The sequence below is a fragment of the Homo sapiens genome, chromosome 3, assembly GCF_000001405.40.
Source record: "Homo sapiens chromosome 3, GRCh38.p14 Primary Assembly".
In the NCBI taxonomy this organism is placed as follows: domain Eukaryota; kingdom Metazoa; phylum Chordata; class Mammalia; order Primates; family Hominidae; genus Homo; species Homo sapiens.
In genome coordinates, this window is record NC_000003.12 from 104,995,207 (window position 1) to 105,021,241 (window position 26,035).

The following is a 26,035-nucleotide window of genomic DNA, read 5'->3' on the forward strand; positions in this document are numbered from 1 at the left end:
AGCAGAAAACAAGTTCTAAATTATAAATTCAAACAATTTGAATATAAATAAAATACATAGAAATAATAATATAGCAATAATATTAAAATATTGATAATAATAAAATACACAATATCAATAACTTCTTAAAGGGTCATTAATCTCAAAATTAATCAATTTGCCTCTTGTTTATATTATATTTTCTTTCCTTCCTTCTGCTAGGAGTGGATATTGAAAAGGCAAGATTATACACAAAGACCAAAGGTTTATAAACTACATCCTAAATATTAGCAGTATATTTCTTTACATCCCCTTCACCACAATCCTATTTCAAGCTACCAAGCCCTAGTTATGCCACATAATAGGTCCTAGATTTCTTGATTGTTCACTGAGAACCTTGATATCTATGGAATCCTAGAATCATTTTGAATCTCTATCCAGCATCAGGGCTCATATTATGCTTTGTTATTCCATCCAATACACTGAAATACTGAAAAGTCACAGAAAACTATTATCATCCTATATCTCTCAATTGGAAATGTTGTGGTAAGTTGATTTTCTAAAGGCAGCTCCTTGATATAAAGATTTTTTCTTTTACAGAGTCCAATTCACATTCTTAAATTCACATTCTTAGGGATCATTTAAAAAACTACAATCTGTGTGTGTGTGTGTGTGTGTGTGTGTGTGTGTGTGTGTATGTTTTAAGATGGCCAACTAGGATGTCAGATACCAACTCCCTTCATAAGGAAGATCAAAGTTACAGGTGAATGGTCATGATCCAAATGAAGAGCTGAAAGAAGAGAGCCAGGACCTGTCAGAGAGCCCATGGGAACAACGTGGCGTGCAGAAAAGCAGCAAGGATCTGGCAAAGATTGACTCTCAAGGAACTCAGAACCCCACGAAAAGGGTAATAGCAGGGGCTTCTCTACTCCCCTTAGCCCTACAACAATCTGATAACCTCCAAAATGTTGGGGAATCCCTCTACCCTGGTGACTCCAGGTAATGATGTTGGTGGCAATTTGGGAAGTTCCTGGGGACAGGGATCCAGGTGGCTAGCTCACATAGGTGCAGCTGCACTCCGCACAGGCCCAAACTGAGGTGGTTGGTACCATACTGGTTGCACACCTGTTGTGGGCCACTGCTCTGCCTGGGGAACCTCATCCCTTAAGTTGCTACATCAACAGATCCCCTACAGAGATAACCTGCTATGACTTTGACAACCACAGGGGCTGTGTTTCCCTGGAAAGCTCGTCCTCAGCACAGGCCAGCTCTAGGGGATATGGGAGCACATCCCAGCAAAGCCACCCTTGAGAAAAAGGAAATGTGGGCATAGCTCTGGCCACCGAAGAAGGCGGGACCATCAACCATGAACAGATGTGGTGAGGGGGTCATCTCCCATTTCCCCTCCCTACTGTTGAAGATGTAGCAGAGGCTCTCACCATTGTGGGCCAGCAGATGTGCACTTGGAGACAGCCTTTCCAATGCTTTTCACCATGGCTGTACCCCCATTAAAAGTGAGCTGGCATTTCATGGGCTTCCAGGAAGGGTGGTGCCATTTGCCCCCTCTTTACACAGAGTAGCAATGTCCCAGCAACAGAGGGTAGACAAACCACAGAGCTGTCTGCTCTGGACTGAGGAAAGAGGCTCTGCTCTTCCCCAAGCCCATATTGGTGGTAGCCACCAGAGGAACATGATCCCTAGCTGGGGCAAGGAGCCAAAGGACAATGTCTATGTGTACTGACTGTCATAAGCCTTATGATAGGGACATGGTAGGAAAGCAGATTGCATTCCTGCTTGCCCAGGATGAGGAGCTGGTGCCGACCTCCACCACCCTACCCTCAAGACCTCAGTGCAACCCAACACAATCTCCCCTGCCTCCTCTGTCAGGACCAGAGCCTTCACTCACTATGAAGCTACCAGAGAGCAAGCCAGTACTTACTGTTAATCTCCACTTAACTGGACAGAAGACTGAACTGCACCACCAAATAAAAAGCTTGCTGTTCAGAAGGGTGGTAGTGTATGAGATAGGCTTCCTGAAATCTCTACACTCTCAGCCCCATAGGAGATAGTGTGTTGGCTCACCTGTCCAATACATCCCTACAACAAGCAGCATTGAAGAAAGCCATCACACAGGCCGGGCGCGGTGGCTCACGCCTGCAATCCCAGCACTTTGGGAGGCCGAGGCGGGCGATCACAAGATCAGGAGAACGAGACCATCCTGGCTAACACAGTGAAACGCCGTCTCTACTAAAAATACAAAAAATTAGCTGGGTGCAGTGGCGGGCGCCTGTAGTCCCAGCTACTCGGGAGGCTGAGGCAGGAGAATGGTGTGAACCTGGGAGGCGGAGCTTGCAGTGAGCCAAGATCATGCCACTGCACTCCAGCCTGGGCGAAAGAGCAAGACTCTATCTCAAAAAAAAAAAAAAAAAAAAAGAAAAAAGAAAAAAAAGAAAGCCATCACACAAAAGCTATCCACAACCAAGGAACTCATTACAGAGCCTTGGTCCCCTGAAAGGACTAGAAACGAAGCCAAAAGATGATAACAACATACACTACAGTCATACCTTCAAGGGAAAAAAGAATTAAAAAAAATAAGTCCCATTCAAATGATAGCAATTTTAAAAATAAGAAGTGACATCTCCTTCAGATGAAAGGGAACTAGCACAAAAAGTTCAGCAGTACGAGAAGATGAGTGTTTTGACACTCCAGTGGACCAGACTAGCTCCTAGCAATAGATGGTAACCAAAATGAAAATTCTAAAGTGACAGTTAAATTCAAAATATGAATTGCAAGGACATTCAATGAGATCCAAAAGAAATTTGGAAACCAACATAGAAAAACAAGAAAAACAATTCAGTATATGAAAGACAAACTAGTATACTTAAGGAAAAAAAAGAACTTCTGGCCTTGAAAAATTCACCTAAGGAATTTCAAAATACTGTTGAAAGCTTTAACAACATATTAGACCAAGCAGAAGAAAGAACTTTGGATATTGAAGATTTGTTTTTCAAAGTAACCCAGTTAGACAAAAATAAATTAAAAAGGCTTTTTTAACGAACAAAGCCTTTGAGAAATATGGGATCATATTAAATGACTAGACGTATGACTTACAGGCATTCTTGAGGAAGGAGAATAAAACATAAATAATTTGGAAAACATATTTGAGAGAATAATTCGAGAAAATTTCCCTAATCTTGCTAGAGAGGTAGATACCCAGATGAGAGACATTTAGATAACATCTACAAGATACCATACAAGATAAACCAAAGCATATGGTCATCAGACTATCCAAGTTCAACACTAAAGTAAAAAATCTTAACGGGCTATAGAAAAGGGTCAAATCATCTATAAAGATAAACCCATCAGACTAACACTTGACTTCTCAGCAGAAAACTGACAAGCCAGAAGAGACTGGGGATGTATTTTTAGCTTTCTTAAAGAAAAAAATGCTATTTAAGAATTTTATATCCTACCCAACTAACCTTCATAAATAAAGGAGAAATAAAATCATTCCCAGACAAGCAAATGATAAGAAAATTCTTCACCACTAGACTGGCTCTACAAGAAATGCTCAAAGTAGTTCTAAACACGGAAATGAAAGTAAGATAGTTGCTATCATAAAAACACACATAAGTACAAGTTTCACAGATTCTATAAAGCAATTACACAATTAAGACTACAAAGCAACTAGCTAGCAACACCGTGACAAGAACAAAACCTCACATATCAATATTAATCTTGAATGTAAATGGCCTAAATGTTCCACTTAGAAAATAAAGTTTGTCAAACTGGATAAGAAAAAAAGACTCAACCATCTGCTGCAATCAATAGACCCACCTATGAGAAATGACATCCACAGGCTTAAAGAGGTAAAGAAAGAACTATTATGCAAATGGAAAACAAAAAAGAGCAGGGCTTGCTATTCTTGTATCAGATAAAACAGACTTTAAACCAACTAAATTAAAAAAAAAAGACAAAGGATGGCATTATTTAATCATAAAGGAAGGAATTCAACAAGAAGACTTGACTATCCTAAACATATATATACTGAATACTGTGGCACCCAAATGTGTAAAACAAATAGTACTTAAGGAAACAGGTAGCCATACAATAATAGTGGGGGACTTCAACAACCCACTGATGACACTAGACAGATAACTTAGGCAAAAAACTAACAAAGAAACTCTTGACTTAAACTGGACTCTTGACCAAATAAATCCAATATATATCTACAGAACATTTGACCTAACAACTGCAGAATATACATTTTTCTCTTCTGTGCATTGAACATTCTCAAAATTGACCAGATGTGTTATGGTTTGGCTGTGTCCCCACCTAAAATCTCATCTTGAATTGTAATCCCCATAAATCCCATAATCCCCACATGTCAAGGGAGAGACCAGATGGAGGTAATTGAATCATGGAGGCAGTTTCCCCCATGCTGTTCTCATGATAGTGAGTTCTTATGAGACCTGATGGTTTTATAAGTGCTTGGTAGTTCCTCCTGGTTTCATTCTCCTTCCTACCACCTTGTAAAAAAAGGTGCCTTGCTTTCCCTTCTCCTTCCACCATGATTGTAAGTCTCCTGAGGCCTCCTCAGCCATGCTGAACTGTGAGTCAATTAAACCTCTTTCCTTTATAAATTACCCAGTCTCAGGTAGTTTTTTATACCAGTATGAAAATTGACTGATACAGTACTCTTGATCACAAAGTAAGTCTCAATGAATTCAAATAAATCAAAATTATATGAAATATCTTCTTGGGTCACAGTGGAATACAGTTAGAAATCAATACCAAGAGAAAGTCTCAAAATCACACGAGTACATGGAAACTAAACAACTTGCTCCTAAATGGCCTTTGTGTTAACAACAAAAGTAAGGCAGAAATCAAATAAAAATTGAAACAAAAATAGAGACACAACATATCAAGCAACCAGTGAGATATGGCAAAAGTGGTAATAAGAGGAATGTTTATAGCTCTAAATGCTTACATCAAGATGACAGAAAGATCTCAAATTAACAACCTAATGTCATACCTCTGAAAAACAACAAATCAAACCCAAAGCTATCAGAAGAAAAGAAATAACAAAAATCAGAGCAGAACCAAATAAGATTGAGACCAATAATCCATACACAGGATCACCAAAATGAACAATTGTTTTTTTGTAAAGACAAATAAAACTGATAGACCACTAGTTAGACTGACCACGAAAAGACAAAATATAAGCACAATCAGAAATGATAAAGGTGACATTACAACTAATACCACAAAAATACAAAAGATCCTCACAGACTACTATAAACATCTCTATTTGCACAAATTAGAAAACCTGGAGGAAATGGATAAACTTCTGGAAACATAAAACTTCCCAAGATTGAACCAGGAAGAAATTGAAACCCTGAACAGACTAGTAATAAGTTATGAAATTGAATTAGTAATAAAAAACCTACCAATTAAAAAAAGTCCAGTACCAGGTGGATTCATAGCCAAGCTCTGCCAGATGTACAAAGAAGAGCTGGTATTGATCTTAGTGAAACTATTCTGCAAAAAAATTGAGGAGGAGGGATTCCTCCCTAATACTTGGAGGAATTCTACCAAATCAATATTATCCTGACACCAAAATTCAACAAAGACACAACAAAAAAGAAAACAACAGGACAATATCCCTGATTACTATACATGCAAAAATCCTCAACACAATACTAGCAAACTGAATCCAGCAGTATATCAAAAACATAATTCATCATGATCAAGTGGGTTTTAGTCCAAGGATGCAAGGATGGCTCCCTTAATGATGAGAACCCTCAACAAACTAGGCACTAAAGACCAATCTAGGACAAACCCACAGTCAATATATTGAACCAGCAAAAGTTGGAAGCACCCCCACTAAGAACTGGAAGAAGGCAAGGATGTCCATTCCCATCACTTCTATTCAACACAGTACTAGAAGTCCTAGCCAGATCTATTAGGCAAGAGAAAGAAAAACAAAGGCATGAAAATTGGAAAATGAGAAAGTCAAATTATCTCTCTCTTTGCCGATGACATGATCTTATACCTATAAAAAACCTCAAAGCAATTGCAAAGAAAATAAAAATAGGCGAAGGGACCTAATTAAACTAAATAGCTCTGAGCAGCAAAAGAAATAATCAACTGAATAGACAACCTATAGAATGGGAGAAAATAATTGCAAACTATACATCCAACAAAGGCCTAATATTGAGAATCTATAAAGAATTTAAACCAACAAGCAAGAAAAAAACAAATATCCCCATTAAAAACAGAGAAAAGGACATGAACAGACATTTCTCAAAAGATGACATAGACATGACCAACATATGAAAAAAATGCTCATCATCAGTAGTATCAGAGAAATGCAAATTAAAACCACAATGAGATACTATCTCACACCAATCAGAAAGGCTATTATAAAAAGGTAAAATAAAATAAAATAAAATAACATATGTTGACCAAGACACGGAGAAAAGGGAACACTTATGTACCATTGGTGGGAATGTAAATTTGTTAAACTCCTATAAAAAATAGTATGATGAATTCTCAAAAAACTAAAAATAGAACTACCATTTGACCCAGTAATGCCACTACTGGGTATCTACTCAAATAAAAAGAAATCTTTTTATGAAAAAGATACCTGCACTCATATGATTATCACAGCACTATTCACGATAGCAAAGTTGCAGAATCAACCTGTATCCATCAATGGTGGATTGGATAAAGCAAATGTGGTACATATACACCATAGAACACTACCTAGCCATTAAACAGAATGAAATCATGTCCTTTGCAGCAACATGAATGCAGCTGAAGGCCATTATCATTAAGAAAAATAGCTCAGAAACAGAAAATCAAATGCTACAGGTTTTCGCTTATATGTGGAATCTAAACAATGGGTATGGACATAAAGATGAAAATAATAGACATGGGGCCAGGAGCAGTGGCTCACGCCTATAATCCCAGCACTTTGGGAGGCCAAGGCAGGCAGATCACCTGAGGTAAGGAGTTCGAGGCCAGCCTGACCAACATGGAAAATCACAAAAATTAGCCAGGTGTGGTGGCGCATGCCTATAATCCCAACTACTTGGGAGGTTGAGGCAGGAGAATTGCTTGAACCTGGGAGGCAGAGGTTGTGGTGAGCCAAGATGGTGCCATTGCACTCCAGCCTGGGCAATAAAAGCAAAACACCATTTCAAAAAAAAAAAAAAAAAGAAAAAGAAAAAAAGAAAAAAGAAAGAAAAGAAAATGATAAGACACTGATGACTCCAAAAGGTGGGGAGGTTGGAAGCAAGGTGGTGAAGGTTGAGATATTATTTATTGGGTACTATGCTCACTATTTGGGTCATGGTCTCACTGGAAGCCCAAACCTCAGCATTACATAATTTGCACATGTAACATGCCTGTACCTGTACCCCCTGAAGCTAAATTTAAGAAAAAAATGTAATTTGCTAGCTGGGACTTGAGAAAAATATATATATATATTTCTATATACATGCAGAATGTGAAGAGACAGTAAGAGAGTACAAAATAGCTTTCCCCCTTGTTAATCTCTGCACATCCAATACAGAGAAAATAAACTAAACCCTTTTTATAAACTTATTTTGTTTTGGCACAATTATTCTATCATCTTATTTGGTAGCATTACTGTTCATATTCTTGAATATTATCTTAAACATTTGACGTAAATCCAAAGTAGAGACTGATCATTCACTGAAGCTGCACTTGGCTCTTACCCACTGTGTTAGTTTCCCATGGCTGCTGTAACAAATGATCGCAGACTCGAAGGCTTAAAACAGCAGAAAGTTATTCTCTCACAGTTCTGGAGAATGGAAGTTCAAAATCAAGGAGTCTGCAGGGTTGGTTCTATCTGGATGCACTGAGGGAGAATGTGTCCCCTGCCTCTCTCCTACCTTCTGGTGGATGACAGCAACACTTGGCATCCTTTGACTTGGGGCCAAATAACTCTAGTCTCTGCCTCCACCTTCACGAGACCTTATCTGTCTTCATGTGTCTCAAATCTGCCTCTCCTTTTTTAATAAAGACACTATTGACTGAATTTAGGGCCCACTCAAGTTCATGATGATCTCATCTTGGAGTCCTCACCTTAATTACATCTATAAACACCCTTCTTTCAAATAAAGGCACACTCTCCGGGTGGACATGGATTTTGGGAAGACACTACTCAGTCTTCCACACCATCTTAGCAATTGCTTCTAAAATAGTTCTGGTATCACCTATCCTTTTCCTTTGTAATGCTGTTGCTGCTTCCATCAGACACTACTATAATCATATCTTTTAAAATAGCCTTTGTGTTTTTACTTTTACATACTTTAAAACATTATTTTTTTTAAAGAAAAAACATTATTTTTTTAAAGAAAAAACATTCATTTTTTTTTTAAAGAAAAAACATTCATTATTTTTCTTTTCACCAAAGCAAACAATACTGGTAGAAAACTTGAAAAACATGGAAAATCAAAAAAGAGAAAGGAAAGACTACTTTTAATCTCACTCTCAGAGCCAAAATTTTTTTATATAGTCATGCAAAGGTTTTTTACTGGTTTATTCAAACATCCATATACATTTCTTACAAGTTAGAAATCATACTGGACATATTTTCTACACATTTTATTTATCTTAAATATTATATTTCATTTTATAACAAGAATATGTAGTTTTCTCATGTCAGAATTGGAGATTATAAACTTTAACAGACTACAAGCAATCTTACAATAACCCCACTTCATGAGGCTGACTGCTGAGACAGGAGAACCCCAGAAGACAAAGTTTCTCTAGGTCACACCATCTGAATGCAGAAGCTGAGAGACTTCAGAGGCATCCAGCCACAAAATCTATCACTCATGCTAAAGATTCATTATAGGAGTCTCAAAAGAGAGGGCTCTCAGAAAAGCCAATAAAAATATCTCAGAAGACACACACTGTGTGAAGAACTGCCATAGAAAGAATACCTACTGAAAAATTCCAATCCAATAGCACCAGTATTCCCTTTATGCTTCAATACTCATTCCCAGCCAATCCGGGATGAATTAGAACCAGTCTAGCAAGTGGACAAAAGTAGATCAGACAATAACCCTTTAACCATTCTCAGTAGGAGGAGTGGGAGAAAGGTAGGTTGAATTGATAAGAGAGGTAAAAAGTTTGACTTATATAAAACTAAATTTTTATTACATGTGAATGAGATGGTTGTACCACCACAATTGCTGACAAAGTGCTGAAATACACAAGAGATTTGCCAAAAACGGAAAGGAAAGGTACAATAGAAGTTAGCAAAACCATTAGGGAAGGAGATTTTTAAAACTATAGACTTCAAACTTCAGCTTGTTCAATGAACAGTCAGAATTGTTGTTCTATTGTTTATGCTCTTTCACACTTCCAGATGAATTCTAAAATTAATATGCCAATTTTCAAAAAGTTCTAGTGTGATTTTCAATATTTTTCTTTACTTTTAGAGATTTTGTTTTAAAACTGCTACATATAGAATTAAATCATCTAAAGTATGTTAACAGTTACCATAAAATAGTTATGCCTTGTACTTCACCTCTAACTTAACTTTTAAGTTAAGTGCTTCCCAGCTTTAAGACAGTATCATTGCTATAAATAGTACACCACCAAAGTTATATAGTATGTTCTTTCTGGTTGTTGGCTGATAAAATATTGTTATTTTAAAATAATTTAATATAGAGTATGGAAATATTTTTTCTGAATAGAATTTATGCAGTGTTTCGACTAATATTTATTTTGTGCTTATTCTGAGAGTCACTGTGCAATAAGATTTCAATGATCTGAGGTGAATAAACTCCTACCCTTAAAAGGTCATAATCGAATAAGAGAATAAAATATATAAACAAATACATGTGGCCGGGCACGGTGGCTCACGCCTGTAATCCCAGCACTTTGGGAGGCCGGGGCAGGTGGATCACAAGGTCAGGAGATCGAGACCCTCCTGGCTAACATGGTGAAACCCTGTCTCTACTAAAAATACAAAAAATTAGCTGGGCGTGGTGGCGAGTGCCTGTAGTTCCAGCTACTCAGGAGGCTGAAGCAGGAGAATGGCGTGAACCTGGGAGGCAGAGCTAGCAGTGAGCCGAGATGGCACCACTGCACTCCAGCTTGGGCGACAGAGCAAGACTCCGTCTCAAAAAAAAAGAAAAAAAAAAACAAAAAAAAACAAACCTTGTAATAGAAAGAGAATAAATTGAATGCAATCAACATGAAAACAAGTTCCATGAGAGAGAAGAAAAGAAAGCAAATGATTTTGATGAAGGCAGTCTAGGTCTTTCCAGAAAACAAGGCTCGTATGTTCAGAGACTATTTAAATTCATTTTTGAGGCTATCTAGACAGGCAACCTACAACTTAACAAGCTCAATAATTCTTATATTCTCTCTGCTACTGTGATTAAGAGGCATCCTAAAATTATAATTATTTAATTTTGAATTTATATATAGTCCCTAATATGTGGCATATTTCCTTAAGAAGCATTCCTTTTGCATTATCTGCTCATTCTCTGTTAGGTTAAACCTTCATGTTCCATGATGCGCCATCACTTTTGATATTTAGCTTGAGCCCAGATTAGCACATAGAATAAATATTTCCTCCAACATAACTTGGCAAAATTAATGATTTTTACATGGTTTCATCTGGTAAAATAAAGCATAGTGTATATGATTCCCAAAGCAGTGAAAATAAAATCTCTGTGTACCTCTGTGTTCTCAGAGGGTATTAAGGAAGCCAAAGCTACTTTTAAGGACGTGTATAGCTAACAGCCTTTGAATATACACAGCTCAGAAACTCTGAAGATTCTGGTGTACTAAGAGAAACTGTTCTCAGACACAAAAAGTGGTAAACTTCTTGAAAGTGGACAATTTTTATTGGTGAGGAGTGTTAAAATGTTAAAAACATGACCTTAATATAGTGCTATTTTTCACCTTTGAAATTACATTTCAAAAAGTGACAATTTTTAGAAGTCACTTCTACCTCACTGTAAAGGGTTGAATTTTCTTAGTATAAATAGAATCTGCACTTACAAAACACATAAATTAGAAGGTGATTATTTACACTACAAAGGATTCACTGCAGGGTTCCTTTAAGACTCTACTAGTGATTTTAAGTAATTGTTTATAGTTCATTAACTACTTTGTAGAAAGACTAGAGGGAGCAGACAGCCTTAATTCCAAAGATCAACAAGAAATAAAGAATAAAATATTTGGGAAATAGACACCTGAAGTATTGGGTATGAAACATCCTATTTTTTAAGATAAGGAGCTAAAAGAAAAAATACAAATGGCCCTATGTCATCCAGTTAGTTACCTGCATGAGCAAAGCAAAAACTCAGCTTTTTGGGTTCTCTGTCTGAAAGTCCATCCATTAAACAAAAACCAGCTAGATATGGCTTAGTTTGCAAAAATGTGACCACCAAAAGACTGTTCAGTAAGATATCAATTGCAGAGTGAAGACTTTTCATTTATAACTATAAATCAAGAATTGTTGATTTTATCACATTCTTTATCAGATCAAAAGCTAGGAATAGAAGGTTGAGCAGAAAGAGTACATAAATATTGTTTGAGAGCTTGGCATTAAAGCACCTCTTCTAAAAAAAATTAAAATTAAAATGATTTGAGAAACTAAGGGATAGCCCAAGGGATGCAATAGTCCATTTTCTAATTGACGCCTTGTGTTGCAAGTTGGGCTCTCCAGGAAAAAAACCTCAGATTGACTTTACTGCCCAGAATGTTTTAGGGAGTTCCCTTCAGATAAACTTGTAGACAAGTGGAAGAGGAAGTAAGAGCAGGTTGAGAAAGAAATGAAGCTACAATACAGGCAAGCCAAGAGCCTCAACCAAACATATGTGAAACTGTGGGATTAAAACAGCCTATCAGAGTATCTTGCCTTAGGCTAAAATGGTGGAAATATCTTTACCACCATCAGTCATTAGACGTGGGCCAGCCTGAGAAGGGAATGGCCTTGATGAGAGGGGCTTGCAGTCACTGTTGAATCCTTGCAGGTGCTGATAGCTAAAGACTGAGCACTACCAGCAGCTGGGGCAACATACATTTCCTCAAAGAGGGATCCATTCAGTGCATCTCCATGTCTATCATACCTTCAAATTCAGGATTTCATGTATAATCTTTGAAGATAGCTAGGTACAAATATCTGCTTTGTTCATACTAGCAATATGAGTTTGGGCAATTCATCTAAGAAAATTGGGTCTCAATTTCCTCATGTTTAAACCAGAGAAAATAATGCTTACCTCATAGAGTCATCTAAGTTCCATGCATAGCCCACACATGGTGGTCAACCCATAGCCAACATTATACTGAATGAACAAAAGCTGGAAGCATTCCCCCTACAAACCGGAACAAGACAAAGAAGTCCACTCTCACCACTCCTACTAAACATAGTGCTGGAAGTCTTACCCAGAGCAGTCATGCAAGAGAAAGAAAGAAAAAGCATCAAATAGGAAAAGAAGTCAAATTATCTCTCTTCACTGATGGTATGATTCTATGCACAGAAAACTCTAAAGACTCCACCAAAACTTTCCTCCAACTGATAAACAACTTAAAAGTTCCAGGATAAAGAGTCAGTATACAAAAATCAGTAGCATTTCTGTATACCAATAACATTCAAGCTGAGAGCCAAATGAAGAATACAATCCCATTTACAACAGCCACAAACAAAATACCTAATAATATATCTGGAAGTGAAAGATATCTACAAGGGGAACTACAAAACACTGATGAAAAAAATCAAATAACACAAACAATGGAAAAACATTACATGCTCATGGATAGCAAGAATCAATGTTATGAAAATGGTCATACTGCCCAAAGCAATCGTAGATTCAATGCTCTTCTTATTAGACTACCAATGTTATTTTTCACAGAATTAAACAAATCTATTATGAAATTCAATAGGTGCCGAAAAAAAAGTCCAAATAGCCAAACCAATCCTAAGCAAAAAGAACAAAGCTGGAGACATCACATTACCCAATTTCAAACTATTTTGTAAGGCTATGGTACCAAAACAGCCTGGTACTGGTATTAAAGTAGACAAATAGACGAAAGGAATAGAATAGAGAAGCCAGAAATAAAGGGACACAACTACAGCCATCTGATCCTTGAGAAAGCTGACAAAAACAAGCAATGAGGGAAAGGACTTCCTGTTCAATAAATAGTGCTGGGATAACTGGCTAGCCATGTGCAGAAGAACGAAACTGAACCCCTACCTTTCAGCATATACAAAAATTAACTCAAGATGGATTAAAAATTTAAATGTAACAACTCACAGTATAGGAATCCTAGAAGAAAATCTGGGAAATACCATCCTGGACATTGGCCTTGGGAAATAACTTAGGACCAATTCCTCAAGCAATTGCAACAAAAATAAAACTTCACAAGTGGGACCTAATTAAACTGAAGAGTTTGCACACAGCAAAAGAGACTATCCAGAGTGTAAATAGACATCCTACAGAATGGAAGAAAATATTGACAAACTATGCATCTGACAAAGGTCTAATATACAAAATATATAACAAACTTAGACAAATCAACAAGATAAAAACAAATAACCTCATTAAAACATGGAACAAAGGGTATGAACAGACACTTTTCCAAACAAGACATACAAGTGGCCAACAAACATAAAAAAAATGCTCAATATTCCCTAATCATTAGGGAAATACAAATCATGATGAGATACCATTTCATGCCAGTCTGTATGGCTATTATTAAAAAGTAAAAAAATAACAGATGTTGGTGAGGCTGTGGAGAAAAGGGAATGCTTATACACTGTTGGTGGGAATGTAAATTAGTTCAGCCATTGTGGAATGCAGTTTCTAGATATCTCAAAAGACTTAAAAACAGAACTACTATTTAACCCAGCCATCCCATCAGTGGGTATACACTCAAAGGAAAATAAATTGGTCTACCAAAAAGACACATGCACTCATATGTTCATTGCAGCACTATTCATAGTAACAAAGACATGGAATTGTGAAAGGAAAATCTTAGGCCCCCAAAATCACTAAACTAAAGGGAAAAATTCAAGCTGGGAACTGCTTAGGGCGAACCTGCCTCCCATTCTATTCAAAGTCATCCCTCTGCTCACTGAGATAAACACATATCTGATTGCCTCCTTTGGAAAGGCTAATCAGAAACTCAAAAGAATGCAACCATTTGTCTCTTACCTATCTGTGACCTGGAAGCCCCCTCCCACTTCGAGTTGTCCCGCTTTTGCTTCAAATTGTCCCACCTTTCTGGACCGAACCAATGTTCATTTTACATAAGTTGATTGATGTCTCCTGTCTCCCTAAAATGAATAAAACCCAAGCTGTGCTCTGACCACCTTAGGCACCTGTCATCAGGACCTCTTCAGGTTATCATGGGCACATGTCCTCAACCTTGGCAAAATACATTTTGTAAATTAACTGTGACCCCTCTCAAATTTTAGGGGTTCACATAATCAATCTAGGTGACCATCAGTGGTAAATTGGATAAATAAAATGTGGTACATAAACACTGTGGAATACTATGCAGCTATAAAAAAGAAAGAAATCATATCCTCTGCAGGAACATAGATGCAGCTAGAGGCCATTATCCTAAGTGAGATAATACAGGAAGAGAAAACCAAATATTGCATGTTCTTACTTATAAGTGGGAGCAAAACATTGGGACGTAAACACATGAATAATAAACACTGAGGACTGTTGGGGAGAGGGAAGGGTCGAAACCTACCCATTGGGTACTATGCTCAGTACCTAAATGATGAGATCATTTGTACTCCATACCTCTACATCATGCAATATACTCAAGTAATAAACCTATACATGTACTCCCTGAATCTAAAATAAAAGTCAAAATTATTTTTTTAAAAAAGACTACTTATTATAGATATGATTTACTGATTATTCTCTTAATGAATGAGATGGTGTTTTTATTACAAGTTTCTTCCTAATACTTATCTCTTGGAAGAAATATTATAGACTCATATGGCTTAGGGTAGCTTGGATCTGAGATTATAAAAATTATCTTAAAATTTTCAAATTATGAAACAGAACTTCAAGGTCTTAAGAATATATATAAACACACAAATATATGCGTGTGTATATAAATGAATGTATATATGTTTATTTGTATATATTCATCTATATTCACAAATAAATATGTATTTGTATATATAATATATATATAAATAAATACACAATAACTCCGATAAAGTTCTCATCCTTACTGACTGCATATGGTAGTTACCTTTATTTTCTCCATTTCATAGGTGAGAATACATAAATTTAGTTAAATTAAATTATTTGCTCATATCAGTTTGAGTATAAGACCCCAAATCTAATACAATATACTTATTTGTCAATGCTGGAGAACTTAGACAATCTTGGGATTGCAGCTGGCACATAGTAGACAGTCAATAAATTAATAATTATTTTCACATGCTTGCATGTGCATCCATATCTCTGCAACTGGATTTTCAGTTCCCTAAAGGCAATGATCATATGGCTCTGGCACCTAGGATGATGCCTTATATATAATACACGTTCAATGATACTTATTTTATGATTGAAAGCTCTAAGGAGCTTGTTATAATACCTTCTAATACCACAAATGTCTATTCAAATGCAACCTTTCATAAGAGAACATTATTCAGTAGAATAGTAGATGGTCCCTAAACACGTCTCTATATATGCATCATGGAATCAAATCAGAAATATTGGATACAGGTTTTAATCAGAGTTCCTCAATAATTGATACAAAACACAGTATGAAAACACGATATTTTAAAATACTGTAATTCACATAAAAGTACAAAGTTAAAATAAATATAAGTCAATTAAATGTTTAACTTTCCTTACTTTTTGAGTTTGTTGTGGTTCCGATTTTCAAATATGTATTAGCTTTTCTTTTACTGTACATATAATTGAATCCTTTCTTTTCTTTATGGTGGCCTTTAGATAGACAGCTCTCTTCTTGCTGTATTTATTTGGGGAGACTTAGATGGCTAACAAAAATATACATCTTTTATTCTTATGAAGGTAATGATATATTACCATACAGAAGTTGAGAGAAGAATAAAAACATAGGAAACTACAGTAAGAAATACAAGATCTATACTATTTTTAATGTAAACGCAGTTTTGTGAAAGAGGATGTTTGTAAAAGAGAATCAAGAAAGAGGTAAATAAATAAGAAGGAAAAGCTCCATCATAGCCCTGTTTTTTCAGAAATGTTACATAGTTTCTGATATAGAGATAGAGAATAAAATTATAATAGAATTTAAAAATAGAATTTTTCCTTAACAAGTAAATAAAAATATTAGAGCCTGTAAACCTATTTTAAAATAGGACTTTACACAGATACACCTGTGTAGTAATTCATTATTTAAAATAAACCAAACAACTGAGCAAAATAATGAAATAAATAAACCAAATGAAAAGAAAATAGGAATAAATAGTAGCCATCGTTCAGAGTGATGAGGGATGAGGCAATTTAATATTTACTATGTTTCAACAAGGTAAACGTTGGCAAACTTAAACTTCAAAAAGTGTTGAAAGAAAGACAGAAGTGCTGGTGAGCTCTGAGAAAAGTTTTACTAGAAAATAAGTGAAGCATAGAGGAGCCGCTGAAATAGGCATGAAGTTAGGAAATGAAGGCAGTGCTCGGCAAATATTCCAAAAAGGGGTAGAAGAGTTTATATGTAAGAAATAAAAGAGAAAAAATAAGTGAGGGGTATGAAGTTCGTGGTTTTGTTTTGCAATTTTGACATTGCTGCAACACCTAAAAGCTATTCTTGTAAGGAATTTACCACCACACTCTGATACGACATAGTATCAGTAGTATTTGGGGAAAATGTATATAGAATAAGAGCGGAAAATAAGATGCCACTTACTGAGTTTTATCTTACGTCATCTTCACCATAACCCTATGATTACCAATTTATAGATAAAGAACAGGAGGGACACAGTAATTAACAAAATCCCCATGGTCTGAGAATAGAAGAGTCAGAATTTTTACCAGGTGTAACAACAAGACCAACGACTAGATGAATTCGTATTTCAGGCCAAGGAGTTTGAATTTAATTCTTTAAGAATCAAGGAGCCATTGCAGGTTTTTATTCAAGTTATAGAATTCTCTTATCAATAACTGTGCCTCATTATGATTGGGTAACTTAATTATGATAGCATCAAAATATCTGCTCACTGCCTGTTGAGAGTTTTCACACAGAGAGGGAAGGCCAGGCAGTACCAGGCAGTTTCTCTGAGCTGAGAAGGCAGGTGAGAGTCCTGGGAAACCAAGGAACCATCTGCCTACAAAGGCAGAGCCCCACAGAACACTCCCACCAGGCCTGGGCATTGCAGTTTACTGTCTCAGAATTTCCACTGAGGCTACAAATACTAATCTCTAGAATTTGTGTCACTTTCAGGAAACAATGTTGCAAATTCCATAGGTGAACCACACAATTATTGTTCCTTTCTTTCCAGTAATAGAGGACAGATAATTGGCCTCTATTGTTTGTTTTGCATCTATTTTAAGATCTCCATGTGAGAAGAAAATGTAGGTGCTGGGCAACCTAAATGGCCCTACAAGCATGGAATAAATATAGCAAGCACCATTGAAAGCTTCCTCTGTAGAAGAGCTACGGGCTTCCCATTGATGGTTTCATTAAATCCTTACAATAGCACCATGAGGTAGGTATGGTTATTATATTCAGTTTTACACGGTGGGAACAAAAGATTTAGAAAAGTCAAATAATTTTTGCCTGTATAATAAGTGATGATGTCAGAATTTGAAGAAATGTAATTCCTTAAATTGTACTATTATCCAGTGCATATACCATCTCTCAAATAAGGCAGCATTTGCTACATAGTTGACAAAAGGAAGGAGTGTGGCTATACCAGTTAAAATGCATCTCCATCCCTGGAAAGAACAGTTCAAAAACAAGTGAAAGACAGTTTTTCTACTAATATTTTTTAATTCTTATAGCACTTGACCCAATATTTTGCATATACTGCATACTCATAAATTGTTCCACACATTTTTTTTTTTTTTTGAGATGGAGTCTCGCTCTGTCGCCCGGCTGGAGTGCAGTGGCGCGATCTTGGCTCACTGCAACCTCCGCCTCCTAGGTTGAAGTGATTCCCCTTGCCTCAGCCTCACAAGTAGCTGGGACTACAAGCGCCTGTCACCATGCCCAGCTAATTTTTGTATTTTTAGTAGAGACGGGGTTTCACCATGTTGGCCAGGATGGTCTCAATCTCTTGATATCGTGATCCGCCTGCCTCGGCCTCCCAAAGTGCTAGCATTACAGGCGTGAAACACCGTGCCCTGCCTCCGCAAATTTTTTTTTAATTCAGAATGTGTGATTATATAAGAAAGAAAGAAACAAGACAGAATAATTTCTTATTTTTCAAAGAATCCTCTCCTTCAACTATCATTCACGGAAGCATTCTGGTCTTCCAAACTAAGCCCTGATAAAACATTAGGAACAAGTTTAGAATTGTGAAATCACCTACACTTCCTTCTCAAGACCAATGGAATTTCACCCTAAGTGAAAAGACACAATTCTGAATAGCTTTGAAACGTGATTTTCAGCACTTAAGCCACTTAAGTCAGTGCTGAATATTACTAGCATTACAGAGAAAGAAAAATACGCAGCTGGTAGATTCACAATACAAGGACTTGATAAAGAAGCTTCCTTGCAGATGAATAGGAAGGGCCACCTGGTCCTAGTGTGACAATCAATAGAGATATTGTGGTGCAGCACAAGCCCCTGCAGGTTAATGAAAGGGACAGAAAAACCTGGAGGGGGAAAGGTGGCAAAAATGACAAAAAAGGTTCAATGATAAAATGTAGGGAAATACTGAGAGGGCAGAGTATCTCTCTAGGAGGTCACAAAAAATGACTAGTAGACACTTGATCAAGGTCTGTAACTTCAAGTTAAAAACATAAATGAAGTAAGGGAGTTATTCAGAATCTCTGAATATAGTAGGGAAAAGATCAGTGCCTTGGAACTAAAAAGAGGTACTTTGAACTAATATTTTGGGGGCAAAAGTTTTTTTAATACTTTGAACAATTGGACAATAGGCTTAACCCCTAAGGGAATCCCATGAATGGATCTTAACTACAGACAGTGTATGAAAGGTCGGAGATGAAATCAACCAGACCCAGGGACTAAGTTGCTATCACAGTGGTAAGAATCAAGACTGTCCTTTTGCAAGTAACAAAGATTCTATCACTTAAAAAAATTCAAAATATTTTGTTTGCTTAATCAAACACAGTAACTCCTTTGGTGCCTTTTGAAGATTACTGTCACAATGCAAGTTCAACTTTAAATGAGTGTGAATAATAATGGGACTCTGCATTGGGTATTCAATGCATAACTAGAGGATGTTACATAATGAATTGTGCTTATTGAAGGTTCACTCACTATAGATTCTGTAAGCATGTGTTTGGTTTATCATAGCTCCTTTGAGTAGATTCTAATCAGCCACATCAATGTAATAATGTGACTAGGTGCTTCCTACTCCTTACACTTGCCTATCACCCATTACTGACTGTCTTGAAATGTTTAGTCATTCGGTACTCAACTGGGTTAGAAAAAACAAACAGAAGCTCTGCTGAATGCTACTTACTTGCCAACATATTCACTGGCAGTTTTACCCAAATTCTATAAGGACAGTGGATTGCAAAATATTTTAACTAGAAATGCATGAATTGTCCTTCACTTGTTTTATCAACCTCAAACTAAATGCATGCAGATGAAGTCTGGTTTGTGAAAAAGTCTTTATAAACATTCTTATTTCCTTTAGGCCAGGAACTTGGTCTTTGGGAACTTTTATAAAGCCTGTGTATGCTATTTATCAGAGAGCTCCTAATCTTTATTTTGTTTTATTTTTTAAAAAATCAAGAAAAGCGAAACCACCTCCTTTCTTTCTCATAAACTGCAGCTTTGAAAATTATTTGTTTTGTCTACCTACTAAGCACCTACTTAATATTGTGTAACTAGTATAACCTGTACACAATAAATTATAAGAAATAATAAGTACTTTTCTATATGCAAATATAGATGTAATTTTTTAAAGTCACATGAATAAGTTACTTTACTCCATCACTTTTACAACTGAAGGATTTAATACTGAGTAGTTTATAACTTGCCTAGGATCTTATAGTTATTTGAATAACAGAACTCAAATTCATGTCTTTCTGATGCCAATGTTCATACTTTTTAATACCCTTTTACACAGTCTCATATTTACACCATAGAGACTTATGATCCCTATACCAGGAAATGTATTTGACTTTGTTCCATTTCCATTAATGTAGTGATATTCCCTTGTAATCAGAGACAGTTTCTCATTAACCTGTGTCCCAGTGTAATATTTGACTTGTTGTACACAGTAAACAGTTGATGAGTAAGTAGTCACTGCTATGGTTTGAATGTTTTTGTCTCCTCCAAATGTATGTATTGGAAACTTAATCTCCAATGTAACAATGTTAGAAAGTGGAGCCTAATGCAGGGCAGAACCTTCATAAATGGATTAACGCCACTATAAAATGGCTCTCTGGAGTGAGTTCTCTTTTCCTGCTCTTATGCCATGTGAGGAAGGAGAAAGAAGGTCCTAACCAGATGCCAGTGTCTTCTTCTTGGACTTTCCAGCCTCCAGAACAGTGGGAAATAATTTTTTGTTCTTTATAAATTACCAAGTCTCAAGTATTCTATTACAGCAGCACAAACAGACTAATAATGTCACTAAGGATGTGAAACAGGAAATTTCTTTTTTTCTATTCTATTAGAGGTAAAACTTTATTTTCTTGCACTTATGACATACCTTGTTCTTTTAGAAAGTTTCAGGCTCCACTTTCACTGCCTCCCTTTTCCTAACCTTGACCAGATCCTTTACATATGGCCACAAGGTTATATAATATAATAATGGCTTTGAAGTGTAAAAATTATGATTTCATATTATAATTTCTCAGTAACTTTGTGAAACTGGACAGGTTTCTAAACTGTGTTGAGTAAAAACCTCCTAATATAAAAACTGAGGGTGTAGGTATAGGTGGTGTTATGATATTTGGCCCCAAAATGGTACAAATAGTAGGCACTCAATAATGTAATAGGTGATATCTTATTACCAAACATCTTAATTATAACCAATTATGAGACATATATTTTAATAATAAACTTCAGGAAATATGTATTAGTATATGATATTACCATGCACCAAGTCTAGTCTGGATTTTACTAGAGTTCAATATTAGTCTAGCAACAATAAAAGATATAATGTCTCTGCTCTCAAGTGGCTCCAGGTGTAGTGGGAAACACAGATAATGAAAAAAATAATTATACAACAATATGCTACAATAATGGTATGAGCAGAGTGCTACAGGAACACAGAGAAAGGAACAATTAACTGTCCAGGGTCAGAGTAACCTCAGGTAAGATAATTTAGAGGAACAATTAATTTAAAAAAAAAACACATAGTTTTCCAAAGAACAGGTAATTCTGTTGTGAGCTCATTAAACAAAGACAATACTAAAAGCCCAGAATTTCCGGTAAGCTAGAATGTGACTAGCTTGCACTGTAGCATAAAGACCCAGAACCATAAGAACACTTTCTTTAGTATTTATTATTAATTTTATGATGTGATATATAGGCAAACAAGTGAACTTGCAAGATGAAAGGTCAACATTGCTGACTTAAAGAGCACTGAACTCCTTAACGGAAAACAATGACTTTGACTACACACTTTGAGAATAGATCACGAGTCTTAATTTTATGAAATGTCTCAAATCTTGGCTTAGTGCCATCACTGATTTTTATTTGAAGTCACGTGTTAAAAAAGAAGAAAAATAAATAAATATAAATATCATCAAAGAAAGAAAGGCAGGAATTTTTCCATGAACAAGAGGCCAAATTTCCAACATCATAGTAGCACAAGCAAGTGGTATGAGAATGTCATTAGAGTTTAGTGTGTTTCCACAGATTTACCTCAACTTTTTCTGCATTTACCTTTAGTGGATTTAAAAAGAATTGTGTGAAATTAAATGTGTCTAAAAGGTATTAAGGAAAAATTATATTTTTTCTTCCAAATTTTAAATTATGAAAAGATAATTGGAAAAAAAAATAAGTCTTTGAGACCCATAGAATGTACAACTCCAAGTGGGACCATCACTTCGGTGACGATGATGTGCCAAAGTAGGTTCATCAGTTGTAACCAATATACCACTTTGGTTGGGATGTTGATAATGAAGGGGCTGTGCATGTGTAGGGACAGGGGCATATGGGAAATCTCTGTACCTTCCTCTTAATTTTGAGGTGAGTCTACCACTGCTCTAAAAACACAAAATCTTAAAAACTAAAATAAAAATGTCTTTATAGCCATTATTTTCCATCCCTATGCCTATTTTCTTAACTCTGAAATAAGGTGGCTTTATCACCATTCTAATTCTACAATTTATTTCTATTTCTAGAAAACTAAGACTTTCAGCATCACCAGCAACATTGTCTGCTTTTAAAGAAGCATAGAAGCACCTCCTCAATTACAGATTAAGTGAGCCACGATAGTGGAATAATTTTTTAAATTGCAGTGATTTGAGCTTTTCCAAAAATTGCAGGATAGTTATTTTTTATTTCTGTTGAGTTGAGGTAGATAATTTGTTTTAAAATGCAGTGATGCAACCGATACGTACATTGAAAGAGTTACTAAGGCTATTTACAAACTTGCTATTTTTACAACAGTTCTAGTTATTAAATGCACATTATGTGCTTGGCATTGTCATTCTCTGTACACATTTCATTTCATTTCGTCCCCACAGCCATCTTATTAGGTAGGTATTATAACTGTTTCCATTACAAGATGATGAAAGTAAGATTCAGAAAATGGAAGTGACTTGTCAAGAACATAGAATTAATTCATATCCCAGGCACAATTTTAAGCTGAGTCTTTTTGATTTTACACCACCAATCACGTCTCTTAATCATGAGCTTCAGATGTAGCGTTAATAGAAGAGTTTATTTATAGTTCTGTATTGTTTGGATGTTGCCCTAAGAGCTTATTACAATTGTGGACAGTAAAACAATAGATATTTCTAATTGCAAGCCATTTATATTTGTGATAATATATGTATAATAACTCCATGAAGTCAGACACTCAGTCTGGCTCTACTGTCATAGAGTCCACCATAAGTTAAAAACACCTGGCACATGGTAAGCCTGCAATAGGCACATAATGTACACATTTGCCAAATCATTGAATTTTGCTGGACTAACAACAGCATCAAAAAGGAAAGTTTAACTCAACAAAAATAAAAATACGATTTGCTCATCCTTTATTTAAGGTTTCTCATGGAAGTCCAAAGATAGGCCTGGATTCATAAGCCCAACCCAAATTACCTTAATAACACAGCAATAAAATCCAATCACAATTCCCTACAGAGATTTTGCACTCCAATGACTAGTGACTAGAACTGTCCTTCCACTCAAGCACATTAATTGTATACTCTGCATCTAGTAGTGACTCAGAAGTCTTTTGTTTCCCTAAATGGATGGTATTATTTTAAAAAGTTAAACAATGAAACAAAAGTAATTCTCATGTAGAATAAGCAAGTGACAATGGCAGCAGTAGACCCAAGGTGCTTGGTTATTAGTATTAATCTAAAACTCCCTCAACTATCATACTCTACTGTGGCTATGTAGAACCTATTGGCATTCTGAATATAACTTTTTAAAATGACTCTTCCTTAAACAGTTAAAATAAAGAGAAGACTTCTCACCACAAAATGTTTATGCATGCAAAAAGCCTTATTTGGTTTTCATAACCAATAGAAAACTGTTATTTTTTTTAAAAAAAAAGCTGGCTTTGGTCTCAGATTTCCACAAATCTGTTTACTCCCTCCACCAAAGTCCATATTTCCAAATTGTCTGTGTTACCAATTAAACCTAGACAATATTCCCTATGAAGTTTTATCTGATAGGAATACTAGACCTGCAGTTCTATGAGACATTTCTTTCCTCCCAGTTTTAAGAGGTGGTGTCTGTATGATGTTCCCAGGCTTGCTCAGGGTTGAATTGGCTTATTAAAAATTCCTGGCCAGGCGCGGTGGCTCACGCCTGTAAAAGCACTTTGGGAGGCCAAGGCAGGTGGATCAACTGAGGTCAGGAGTTCGAGACCAGCCTGGCCAACATGGCAAAACCCCGACTAAAACTCTACTGAAAATACAAAAATTAGCCCGGCATGGTGGCGCATGCCTGTAATCTCAGCTACTAGGGGGGCTGAGGCAGGAGGATAGCTTGAACTGGGAGGCAGAGGTTGCAGTGAACTGAGATCGTGCCATTGCACTCCCATCTGGGCAACAGAGTGAGACTCCGTCTCAAAAACATAAAAAATAAAATTCCTTACTGACTTGTATTAATATAATACAAGAATATAATACAGAGAACACAATCCAGCACAAAGTACAAATTTTTATTCAAATAATTCTATTAGCATAATTATCTTTTTTGAGGAAATTAAATGTACATTATTATACTTGATGTGCCACAAATTATAAAAGCAAAAAATTTCACTTGTAAGGTTCTGCAGTTCTCCAGTAATTAGCCATATTGCGCCCTGGAAACTAAAATTAAATACATAGATTAAACCAGAGGGGGAGATAATAACATTGTCAAGGGGGTCCAGATTTACTGCAGCATATTGTACCTGAGGCTCAGCCTTAGAAGAGCCACTGTGGGCTCGGTCACACAAGAATCAAACCAGGTTTCCCATAGATCTGAGCTAGTGACTGAGATAATCACTTGGCATGGCACTCCACTAAAGGAAAATTCTATCTCTGATCAAATCGTATATATGCAAATAGGTCTCTTCTGCCTACTTTCTGAACATTGTTCAGTCCCTTAATCTTGTGATACTCAGGGTATGAATTCAGCAGCAAGGTATTACATAAATTCAGCACTAAGGTTAATATCCTTTCCAATTTATACAAAGGAAACTTTCAGCTATTAGTTTTCTAAAGTCACATACACAGAGACATAACAAGGATGTTCACTGGAAGTAGATTTTGTTGAATTTATAATATTTGTATTAGCTACAGTTAGTGATAATTGGTCCCCAGATGACAAGCCTAGGGAGTACTCTGTCTACTAGCTAATGATACTTAGTTGGATGGAAAGATCAGTCTGACGCTAAGTTTAAAAGCAAAAAGAATAAAAAGAAACATGAAGTTCCCATAACGTTTTATTCCCCTCTGCATAGTCATTCTTTCTGATAAGATGGGAGATAAGTAACAAAATAACACTATGTATTAGGTTTTTCTTTGTGAGCCTCAGGCACATAGTGAAACCCAATTTAAACACATATTCTCTGACTCAAAAAGACAAAATGGGTAGGAGTAGGAGGCTGTCTCCCTAGTAATGTTGGTACCACAGCGTCAGCCAATATTCCCCATAAATACCTGAACACCCAGTCCATAGATGTTCATTTCAGCCACATGTTCTTTTCAAATAAAATCTGCATTGCTAGAGTAGGAGAGATTTTATGGTATAAGCTAATAATAATAATTATTATTATAATTTATTTATTTATTTTTGAGATGGAGTCTGGCTCTGTCACCCAGGCTGGAGTGCAGTGGCACGATCTTGGCTCACTGCAAGCTCTGCCTCCTGGGTTCACGCCATTCTCCTGCCTCAGCCTCCCGAGTAGCTGGGACTACAGGTGCCCGCCACCACGCCCGGCTAATTTTTTGTATTTTTAGTAGAGACAGGGTTTCACCGTGTTAGCCAGGATGGTCTCGATCTCCTGACCTCGTGATCCACCCATCTCGGCCTCCCAAAGTGCTGGGATTACAGGCGTGAGCCACCAAGCCTGGCCAATAATAATTATTGTATTATTATTAATAAAAAAGATAGATAATAAAAAAGGAAGATAATAAAAAATTTAAAATCAGCACTAAATGTGACAATCTTTCAATCTCATTTCAATGCTCACCAGAGAGCATTCTTCATTAAAGAGGCAGAAACGACTAGTGCT

The 26,035-nt window shown here is 36.3% G+C and overlaps 1 long non-coding RNA gene across 2 annotated transcripts; it reads left to right on the top strand.

The window, feature by feature from the left end:
- The first annotated feature begins 434 nt into the window (after positions 1-434).
- On the top strand, positions 435-22,789 carry LOC105374023 (uncharacterized). Of its 2 annotated transcripts, none has more exons than XR_924305.2 (3): positions 435-525; positions 17,492-17,698; positions 22,482-22,789. It is a non-coding gene; the product is annotated as an uncharacterized LOC105374023 (long non-coding RNA). The 2 variants fall into 2 exon arrangements; XR_924306.2 differs by having other exon boundaries at positions 17,544-17,698.
- Positions 22,790-26,035: the final 3,246 nt, after the last annotated feature.